Raw genomic sequence first — 11,457 nt, forward strand, 5'->3', positions numbered from 1 at the left:
GAGGTGGCAGAGGAGACTGCTTGTAAGAGAAGCAGTGAAGGGGTGTCTTGTTTATTGTTTTTTTAATCTCAGAGCCCAACACCATGCTCAGAAGACAATAACAACTTAGTAAATATTGTGAGTGATTTGAAAGAAAGTCAAAGCTTTACGTTATTTCTCTCTGTGGAGATTTTTGAGACTAGGCAGGTAAATATGTATTACCAGTTAAGGAGGCTAATTTTTCTTGCACAGTGTCCACTACAGATGACACAGATACATAATAAAAGGGCAAAGTGGTAATGAAGGCAGCATGAGTGAAGGTTAAAGATGAGAACAAGCATTCATATTCAAAGATACTCAGAGGCCCAATCTATGAGGGAGGAGTTCATGTAGAGCAGAAGGAAATAAAGTTAGATTGGTTAAGAGTGGCCAAATCTTGCCCCAGGAAGTGATATACAAAAGCAATGGTTAGTATATTCGAAATCCTTATGATGACTTCAAGAAACAAAGACAAGGGTCATGGAGACAAGGTTCCAGGAGACTGACATAGTAATTCAAGAGAGATGAGAAAGTAAATGAGTGTAGCACCCATGGAAATGTTTAAAGGTAGGATCAGTAAGAAATGGGACAAGTGGACAAAGAGAAAGGCAGAAAAAGATGAGTCAAAATTGACTTAGGTTTCCAGCTTAGGCAGCTAGGATAATGCTGGTTTTACTGGAAATAAGGAATATTCACTATGGTAGGAAGAAAATAGTTTCGTTTTAGACATATTAAAGTTTGAGATAATGATGGGACACAATTATAACCATCTTTAGGAAGACATGAATTAGAATTCAGAGACTATAGGTAAAATATTTGGCAGTCATCAACATGGAAATGATGACAGAACATTTGAGAGCAAGAACTTGAGTAAGAAACGTCACAGAATACCTCCAAGTTTTTTTTTTTTTAATTATTTTTTTAGGAGGGTAGGGAAAAAGAAGCCAGGGTAGAAAACAGAGGAGTACAGCTAAGAGAAACTGGATATTATCATCCCACCAAGGCCAGGAGATAATCAGAAAAGAGCCACCTCTAAAGAGACAGAGATGACTCTTTAGAGACTTCTTTCCAAGAAGATTCTTAGAGTAAGTGGGTAGGCTGGAGGGTTGGAACAGATGGAACACAAATGACAGAGCATCACGTAACATGAGGAAAATCATCAAGTAGATCACTGAATATGCCAAGAGTATTAAAGCTAAATTATTAAAAGTTAAAATTATATGAAATATCACAGTCTTGGATGAGAAAACTAAAGAGGTTAGGGTTTGGTTTTTTATTGTTAAATTAAAACAAGATTAAAGTCTACTAAAATAAGTTATACAATTTTATAGCAAAATAGCTAAGGTGAAATTAGGATTGAATATTAAGTAATTAATAATCTAATTTTATAAAATCTGAAAATGAATAAACATATTATAGATTGCTTTTTTCCCTGAAGTTTTCTAATCAAATAATCTTAAATCATATCCCACATCAAGCTAAAGAATTTAGGCCCTAAAAATGCAGAATAAAGCAATATGGTAAAAGATAGAAAAGGAGCAAGAAAGAAACAGCAATAATTTAGTGTGGAAAGAAGGAAGTGAAGGTTTACTAATGTGGAATATAGGAATGTTTGCATAATGCATATATTCGCTTATTCAGCAAATCTATATTAGACATAAAATAGGTATAATGTGTTGGGGCTACCAGGATGAATGCAGTATCACTCCTCAATGGATTTACAGTCTAAAGTACTACGTTTACAATACAAAATATATTTTATTGTTGTACTTAAGTAAAACCTAAAGTAATGTGATTACTTTTTAACCATCCAACCTAGATTTTTGTTGATCACATAAGTCTAAATTACATTGGCTGAGATTTTACAAAAAGACCCTCAAATTCTAAGATGATCTAAAGTGTTAAATGTGTATAGAAAAAAATTCTACTGCATTAGTGGTTAGAAAAAACATCAATTCCTATAACCCTATAGCCCTGACATTTAAATTTTAGGAGATGGCAACCATGACATAACAGGAAGAAAGATCCTCTGAATTTTTCCTACGACATTTTAGCTAGGAATTTGATGATACTGACAAGACTAAGCAGACAATTTGTAGATTTCCTCCCACATTTAGTTTAGTTAACAGTTCTTATTAAACCAAACATCCAGCAACTAAATTAAATTTTGTTTTGGCCCATACAGTACATTATTATGGTTCATTAATACTCACCAAATGGGATACCTTAACAGATCCTTCACAATTAGAAGGTTCACCCTTCTCTCTGCTTTCCAAAATCTAGATAGAAAAGGCAAGCTGTAGAAAAATTAGTGCATTCTTACTTGGAAAGATCTAACAGATAGATAGAATTACCTACCATCCTAAAGATGGTATGAGAACGACTGCTTCTTTGATTCATTTTTGTTTCTCCATAATGCCTGCTCTCTGTAAAAATGAGTTATATTTCAGCTGCATATATAATAAAATCCATAGAAACACAATAATTTTTATTTTAACTTAAAAAAGTATGATTTGAGGTCCAAACGTGCTTGATTGAAAAGATAGTTTTTACAAGTGTTCTAAAGAAATACAGCATAAAGTCTTACTTTCTCCCTTTGTAATCCATTTCAAAGCCATTTCTGATGTATATACAACTTCTTCTGTGAGATCAGCAACATACACATTCCTCTGAAACAAGTTTAATTATGGAAAGATTAGAGAAATAGAAGTCACAAGTTTGCTTTTCAAAAGAAGGTGCAAACTATTATAGAATTCATTTGTGAAAGTTAAAAGTGGCAAATGGAACCATAATTCTGTAGGAATGTAACAAATAATTCTATGAATACCCACAATTTATTTCACATACCAAAGCACAACAAATTCTAACCTGATACTTCCAACTTGCTATTTTTACACTTAAACCAAAATATTAGAGCTGTCAGTATTTTAAAACTATTCATATTGTTTAAAAGATGAATATAAATACTTCAAAAAAACCCTCACATACTATAGAAATAGGAGACACTTTAAAAACTATAGAAATTAAAGGTAAACATTCAAGAACAATAATCTCAATAAGTCAGTCAATTTTAAAGCTCCCTTAAGTCTGCTACTCACATTGACATCTTCTCGAATAATTAAAGGTTTCATTTTTTGAGTGCCACAGAGTAAATCTGTAATGGTTTCATTGTATATTTCCATGTAAGATACACGTAAGAGAAATTCCCTATCAGGAAACTAGAAGAAAAAAAATTATATAAAAACACCAGGAAGCATCCAATTGTGAAAACCTAATGCTAAATGCTCATGTGCTTAAAGAGGTAAAATGTATGTAAAACAAACTAAGAAACCCCTTGGTTCTACTGTTGACAAAATAATGAACACAAAAATATAAAAGCATCGTTACAGAAATAATGAAAAGTGAAGTACCATAAAGCTGGGAGAACACCAACTCTAGGCTCAAACTCTAGGCTCAAAATAAAACCCTCTCAAAAGATGTTCTTATTTTAATAAAAATGCTAATTTGAAACCAACTAACTCGGTTGCCTATTCTGGCTTTCTGCTTCCCTTCTTTTTTTACCTACATCCACTTTCTACTGTTCCTTTATAATCACTGATAGTTAAATGGTTAGGTGGAGCTAACCATTCTGATAACATTTTCTTGTTCCTTAATGCCTACTTTTTGTTGAGAGTATTATTGTTGCAGAATTCAAGAGAAAGAATAAAAGAACTTTAAGCTTTATAAAGTAAGTTGTGGAGATAAAAGTGAATCTATGCTATGCCTTTCTTCTTTCCCCATGGATAATCAAACAATAACTGTAAATCTACTTCCTTTCATCTTTACAAGAGAAATACACTAAGACTGGTACCCAGTTTTTACTAGTTTTACCTGTACGTACTAGAAATCCAGTTAAGTTACTTACCTTCTTAATTTTTTGGAAAATGTCATGAATTGCCCTGGGTATAACTCCCAAATGATCTTCTGAACCCATCATGGTATATGTTTTTCCTGAAGCAGTCTGTCCATAGGCAAATATAGTACCTGCAAAAAACAAAACACACATACGCAAAGATTAAAAACAAACCTATAATGGGTAAAACTATGCATGCTTGTTGCACAGACGCCCAAGACTAAAATGTTTCTGCAGCATTGAGTGAATACAAACCATTGTAGCCTTGTATGGCAGAATCGATGATTGGTGCTGCTATTTCTTCATACACATTTTTGGTAGTTTCATTACCATGAAAGACACGATCTAAACAACAACAACAACAACAACAACACAGAAGTTAAATCAAATGAGTCCACTGTGTTTTCATTCCAAATTAGTAATTATTCCCAAAAGTAAAACTGTCAGAATGTAGGATGATCAACTATTTAAGACACAGTATTTTTTTCAACTTTTTGGTTCTCTGAAAATACCCTTCCCTAAGGTAAAATGAGTTCATTTTCACACACAAAAAATACACTACAAGTCAACTTTTCTATGTTCTTTCAAGAGGCAATAAGGTATAGTGTTTGCACATGGGGGTCTGGAATCTACCTAGATGCAAATTAGATAACTGTGATTATAACTGTTTTAAATGCCAATTGGTTACCTTACTTAAATACATGATGGATAAACAATTTTGTTTCCAGTGAAGCAGTTTATAGAAGGCTTAGTCTAATCTTTAGTGACAAATCTAATATTATTGATAAGCCTTTTGTACTTTTAATAGCAAAAGGATAACAAGGTAACTTTTGATGCTATTATAAGCTTACCAAAATTGAAGGATTTACTTCCATCAACTTGATAAATGACATTATTGTCAGTTTTCCAGTAAACTTGGGCAGTTTCTCCAAGTGATTCTTCTCTAAAAGAATAAAAACACCGCATTTTAACCAGTCATAAAAGTCATGTCATAGGAGGAATAATTGAAAAGATTTCACCTGCTAAAGAATATTTTGAAAGATAGTAACATAAGAGAATGACAGAAAGTCCATCTTTGAGGATTCAACTCTTAAATGGAGCTTCAGTGACCTTCTGCCGCCTCAAAAGTGTTTTCTTGTGAAGGCTTTCATTCTCACCCTCTCCCCCAGTACTGGTAAACAAAGGGATGGATTCAAAATGCAACTCTGATTATGTCTGTCTTGCTTAAAATTCTTAAAACCTTTTGGAAACTTATGAAATCCTCAGCAGGGCACGAGTCCTAGATCATGTCATTTCTCTCTTCCATTTTCCTCTGAATTCCTAGATACATCCTAAGCTCTACCTGAAGGTCTTCCCCAAATGACAGATGTAACCTCTCTGTGCCTGGAATACTCTGACTTCCCTTTCCATTAAGTAACATAGGGATTATTTCACTCATGAAAAGCGTCAAGACTTTTCTGACACCAGTTCACCCCACGGGAAGCTTTCGTCTCTGATGGGCTAATAACTCCTCTAGCAAACATTCTCTACCTGCCCATCATAACACTTGTCAAAAGGTATCCTAATGGTTTCTTTATGTAGCCGTTTAAGGCATTAGATAATGAGCTCCTCAAAAATAGGAAATTCCTGATCTTGGTATTTGCATTTATTAAACCCCGTGTTCAATAAAAATTTCTCACACACACAAAGTGTTAGCATTTCGGGTCGAGGGCCAGAAGCTAGTGAAGCAAACCGATTTCATTTATTCCTCTTCCTGCTTTTTCTCCCTAGCACTTATTACCTACATATCACCACTTAACATCCTACATTTTCAACTTTACTTTCTGTCTCGTCCCATTAGAATGGAAGAGCCACTGGGCAATGACGGGAGTGTCTGTGTTGTACAAAGTCACTAAAAAAAAATTGATAAATATTTGTAGAATGATCTTGAGTGACGATTGAATGTAATGTGACAAGACAGACTAGCCCTTGTCTTCAGAGGGTCTGGAGACAGCAGTTAGGTGTAAAATGACTAACTGTGATGAGGGCCAGGAAGGCACGGTCCCATACGACTTCTCTAGGCGGGGAATGGGGCAGGGAGGAGCAGATGCCGCAAGGCAGAGCAGCACAGAAGGGAAGGTCTGTATGTCAGCGAGACTGAGTTAAATTTAAGTGAATCTCGCAGCTGGAAAGTATCTTCTAGATCTCCGATCCTCCCCTGTCACTTTACAGACCCTGAAACGATGGCCAGCAGCCGAGTCACTAGACAGCAGAGCCGGGAAGCAGCGGCTCCTGGAAACATCGTAGGCCTCGCCCCTCCGGCTCAGGGCGGCGCCGCAGGCCCAGCGGGCACCGGGCCGTGGTGTGGCCCCCCTACCTGCTGTTCAGCGGCCGCACTCGCACGCAGACGGCCACGGCTCCTTCCTCCGCCATCCTATCAGGCTGAACTGGTCCCAGGAAAATGGCCAGGACCCTCCGCGGCCGGCACTTCAGGGCTCACAGGCCGCCCCGCCTTTAAATTTAAAATTTCCCAAACGCCGCATCTGATTGAGCCGTGGCCTCGTGACGTCATGGGCCATTCCACGTGCGGAGCAGCGCGGGGGACGCAAGGCGGGCGGCGTGACCACTGCTAAACAGGAGAGGGGATTTAAAGGGCCCAGCAGAGAGTCGGAGGAGAGGGCCGAAGGGAGGGGCTCCCAGGAGTGGGCAGAGAGTGGTGGTCCTGGAATACCAGAATACTATTATCTGCCAAAAGCTAGCGAACGTCATCCTCCACCCCATCCTTAAAAAGTTTGGAACCTGTAGACGAAACTAGGTAGAGATACATGTATTTTTCACTACCCAAACAGAATTGCCGTCTTTTAAAGAAACTGCACCAACAGTTTAAAATAAACTTTCAACAGCAAGAGTTGAAATTCGCTGTCCAGTCCAGAAACGTGACAAGCCTGTTGTGCGCCTTAGAAAATCTGAGTTTAGGCTTTTCTCCTGTTTCTCTCTCTCTGTAACTCGTTTCCATTAGCTGTGGCTTCCTCAGAGGTTGAATTAGGGAAAATAAATACCGAGGACTGAAAAACTCATTGAGTAATGGGTTGATACTTTTTTTTTCTTCTTTTTTTTGGAAACGGAGTCTCGCTCTGTCACCCCAGGCTGGAGTGCAGTGGTGCTTATCTCTGCTCATTGCAGCCTCCACCTCCTGCATTCAAGTGATTCTCCTGCCTCAGCCTCCCCAGTAGCTGGGATTACAAGGTGCCCGCCACCACGCCCAGGTAATTTTTGTATTTTTAGTAGAGACGGGGCTTCGCCATGTTGGCAAGGCTGGTCTCAAAGTCCTGACCTCAGGTGATCCACTTGCCTCGGTCTCCAAAAGTGCTGGGATTAAAGGCGTGAGCCACCGCTCCTGGCCTGGTTTGTTACTTTTATTAACTAAGAGGGAAAGCTATTCTAAATACAGTGATTTTTTCCCAAAAATAATGCTTATTTTCCCTTTCTTCTCTCTCTCTCTTTTTTTTTTTTTTTTTTTTTTAAATAAACATGAGTTCTTGCTTTGTCACCTAGGCTAGAGTGCAGTAGGCTGAACACAGCTCACTGCAGGCTCAACTCCTGGCCTCAGCCCAAGTGGGGTTCCCACCTTAACCTCCTGAGTAGCTTGGATTACAGGCACATCACAAGCCCAGATAATTTTTAAATTTTTTTGTAGAGACGGGGTGGTGGGGGGATTAGGGTAGGGAGTGGGGTCTCACAGTGTTGCCTAGGCAGGTCTTGAACTCCTAGGCTCAAGCAATCCTCCTTGCCTTGGCCTCCCAAAGTGCTGGGATTACAAGCATGAGCCATCGTGCCTGGCCTAGCTTTTTATGTGTACTTTAGAAAGCTATCCAAGATGTTTCATTTATTAAGAGAAATTCAAGGTGCACGGTTATGTACACAGAATATGTCTGGATATACATACATAATTTTTGGAAAGATACACAGAATATGCCTAATTTCCTTGCAGAGTGAGGACTGAGTTAGATGGTAGACTGAGTTAGATGAAAGTAGTTTCTTTCAATTTAAAGAAACTAGTTTATAGATAAGAACAGTAAAGAAAAATGAGTCTATTCATTCAAGATTTGTTTTGGTTAACTAGCTGTGAGGTAGTATAAACAACTCTTTTTTATTGCTAGACTGTAAAGATACTTGGTTGTATCTAGTAAGAAAATACAGAGTTAAGGAAGGTATATTTTAACTGTTGTTTTTGTTTTAATTGTGGGCAAATATGAGACAGCTGAAGGCAAGGAACCTATGAAGAAGAAGGGAGATGTGATTAATCAAAATTTCTAATGAGACAAGAGGAGATTGGTTCACGAGTAAAGAGAAGTCATCAGCCTTTCATAGTTGTGCTTATGATCGTTGCTATGACTGTCTTTTTTTATCATCACAGCAGGTGACATTTATTGAAGATTTACTATATGCCAGGCTCTCTATTATATGCTCTCTATCCAATTTTTTCATCTGACTTTCCAAATTGTTCATCAAGAAATATTCATTGAACAACTGTTATGTGCCAGATACGGTTCTAAGGTCAGGAAGCACAACAGTAAATAGAATAGACACAGTACCTGTTGTTGTAGAGTTGCTATTCTCTTAGAGGAGATGGGTAATACAGAAAAATCTCAGTCTCTCTCTCTCTCTCTCTACACACACACACACACACACACACACACACACACACACACACACATAATGTAATGATTAATAGGATCAGGAGACAGAGAGAGAGTGATAAGGTGGGTTAAGAGTGCTAGTTTCTTATGAAACACATTCTTGTGGGAAGCAGCAGACAATACATAACAAATATATAGTAAAATAATGTGTTGGGAGGAAGGTTTATTTTAGATGAGATGTTCAAGAAAGACCTGAGGAGGTGACCTTTGAAGTGAAACCTATGTGAGAAGAGTGAGCCAGACTTGGGAGGACAAGAGAAAGGGCGTACCAGACAGAGGAACAAGTAAGTCAAAGAAGCCAAGGCTTGATCGAGTTTGTCATCTGTCTGAGACACAAAGGGGAGGGCCCTGTGACTGAAGCATTTGTGGCAATGGAGAGAGGTAGGCAGGTCCAGGTCCAGGACCCATGGGGCCTTGTGGGCTGTGATAAAATGTTTGGATCTTATTCTCAAGGGTGAGGGGAAGCCTATGGAGGGTTTTAAGCAAGGGGGTAAAAAGGGATTCATTAATTCCTTCAAACAAGACACTCTTTATTTCACTATGAAAATAGAAGCTTCCAGAAAAGACTTTGCCCTAATTCCTGTCAATCTGGCTACTCACTATGTGCATTTGTGCTTGCATACTCGCCTTCCAGACTGTAACTTTATAAACATCTGTGTGTTTTCCACTCTGGAAACTCTCCATGTGTGCACTGGATACAGTCCTCTCCTTCTCACTCTCTGTCCTGCTTGTCATTTTCTCCTGCTCTAGAAAACCAGTCTTAACAGCAAACATATGCCTTAATTCCTCCCATATTGAGTGTCTAATATATATGGCAAACTTAAAATGTCTAATACCAAATTCATGCTCTTCCCCTCAAAATCTGCTCAATCAGCAGTTTTCTGCTTCTCAGTTGTTGGCAAGTCCATCCTTCCAGTTATCCAGGTGCAGACTCTGGAGCCATGCTGCTCAGCTTCTCACCTGAAAATTCTGTCAGGGCCACCTTGAGAAAATTTCAGACTATGAAAAGTTTGTCACAACTTACGCTTCAGCTACCTGGTCCGAAATATCATCATCTGGCACTGAGCTAATCTCAGTGTTTCCACCCTTGCCCACCCCCACTGCCAGTCTGTTCTCAACACAGCAATTTGAATGATTCTGTGAAAATGTGTCAGATCATGTCACTCCTCTCTCAAGACCCCCAGTGCCACACCTTCACCCCCACCCTCTGATTTCTCTCAGAACAAAACCCAACGTCTTTCAGTTGTCTCCCAAGCCTCACATGATCTTGCCCTTTGTTTGTGCTCTGGCCTTACCTCCTACCACTGTCCCTCCCCTTTGCTCTCCCCACTCCAGCCACACGGGCCATGGGCAGTTTCCTGAATCCCAGACAAACCCCCTCTTGAGACCTTTGCACTGGCTGCTGTGTCTGGATGGAAGGCTTTCACTCCAGATATACATGTTTCCCTCCTTCCCATTGATTCCAGTGTTTACTCAAATGTCACCCTCTCATAGCTCTCTCTCTATAAAACACCAACTCCATTGTATGTTACTTCTATTTCTTAAATCTTCTTCTTAAATTAGTTACAAGATTATTTGTAACTTTTAGACATAATATGTGTATGAGTATTAATTTATGTATATATGTCTCCTCCCACTAGAGTGACATAGTTTTTGTTTACTCCTTGTCCCCTGTGTGTACAAAGATGCTTGGCATAGAGTAAACGTTCAATTAAAAATTACTTATTACTTAAGTATTACTCAAATACTTATTGGCATAATTTCTGGAAAGATACACAGAATACACCTAGCTTTCTTTGGAGGGAAAGGACTGAGTTGGAAAACAGATTCACCTTTCATTTTATATTATTTCATAACAATATTTTAACCACATGAATATTAGTTTCTCTCAAGTTAAAGAAATTAGTTGACATAAATCAGTGTGTAAAATGGAGTCTACTCATTCAGATTTGTTTTGGTTATCTAGCTCTGAGCTCATAGAGATTATCCTTTTTCATGACTAAATTGTGAAGAGGCAGGGCTGCTTCTAATAAGATAATCCAGAGTATTGTGGTGTATACATACTATGGAATACTACTCAGCCATGAAAAGGAATGAAATAATGGGATTCACAGCAACCTGGATGGAATTGGAGACCATTATTCTAAGTGAAGTAACTCAGAAATGGAAAACCAAACGTCATATGTTCTCACTTATAAGTGAGAGCTAAGCTATGAGGACTCAAAGGCATAAGAATGATACAATGAACTTTGGGGACTTGGGGGAAAGGGTGGGAGGGGGTGAGAGATGAAAGTCTACACATTGGGTACAGTGTACACTGCTTGGTTGATGGCTGCACCAAAATCTCAGAAATAACCACTAAAGAACTTATTCATGAAATAAATAAATTAAAAATCAATAAATAAAATAAAAGGATAATAACCAACATGCATGGAACTGGAGGCCATTGTCCCAAGTGAAATGACTCAGAAACAGGAAGTCAAAAACTGCATGTTGTCACTTATAAGTGAGAGTTAATCAATGAGTACACATGAACATTGTAATAGTCTGTTCTCATGGTGCTATAAAGAAATACCCGAGACTGGGTGATTTATAGAGAGGTTTAATTGATTCACAGTTCTGCATGGCTAGGGAGCCTTCAGAAAACACAATCATGGTGGAAGGCGAAGCAGAAGCAGGCACCTTTTCCACAAGGAGGCAGGAGAGTGAGTGGGAGCAGGGGAAATGCCAGACACTTATAAAACCATCAGATCTCTTGAGAACTCACTCAGTAACAGAGAACAGCATGAGAGAAACCATCCCCATGATCCAGTCACTTCAGGTCCTTACCATGACACATGGGGATTATGGGGATTAAAATTCAAGATG

At 38.6% G+C, this 11,457-nt stretch overlaps 1 protein-coding gene across 17 annotated transcripts in view, besides 1 other annotated feature; it reads right to left on the bottom strand.

The window, feature by feature from the left end:
- CENPE (centromere protein E) overlaps positions 1–6,346 on the bottom strand; it is a 92,533-nt gene extending 86,187 nt beyond the window's left edge. For all 17 annotated transcript variants that reach the window (XM_047449534.1, XM_047449541.1, XM_047449533.1 and 14 more), the window contains exons 1-8: positions 6,267–6,346; positions 4,762–4,853; positions 4,166–4,255; positions 3,923–4,041; positions 3,117–3,236; positions 2,606–2,687; positions 2,377–2,444; positions 2,232–2,297 (exon numbers count right to left, since the gene is read on the bottom strand). In XM_047449534.1, the coding sequence (XP_047305490.1) occupies positions 2,232–2,297; positions 2,377–2,444; positions 2,606–2,687; positions 3,117–3,236; positions 3,923–4,041; positions 4,166–4,255; positions 4,762–4,853; positions 6,267–6,322 (693 nt within the window). In that variant the 5' untranslated portion in view covers positions 6,323–6,346. The remainder of the gene's footprint in view (positions 1–2,231; positions 2,298–2,376; positions 2,445–2,605; positions 2,688–3,116; positions 3,237–3,922; positions 4,042–4,165; positions 4,256–4,761; positions 4,854–6,266) is intronic.
- Positions 6,208–6,762: an enhancer, noted in NCBI's record as "H3K27ac hESC enhancer chr4:104119362-104119916 (GRCh37/hg19 assembly coordinates)". NCBI's record gives its function as "activates a minimal SCP1, AML or CMV promoter by ChIP-STARR-seq in primed H9 embryonic stem cells {active_cell/tissue: H9 hESC(primed)}" and the evidence as "EXISTENCE:reporter gene assay evidence [ECO:0000049][PMID:30033119]".

Source organism: Homo sapiens, chromosome 4 (assembly GCF_000001405.40).
Source record: "Homo sapiens chromosome 4, GRCh38.p14 Primary Assembly".
Lineage (NCBI taxonomy): Eukaryota > Metazoa > Chordata > Mammalia > Primates > Hominidae > Homo > Homo sapiens.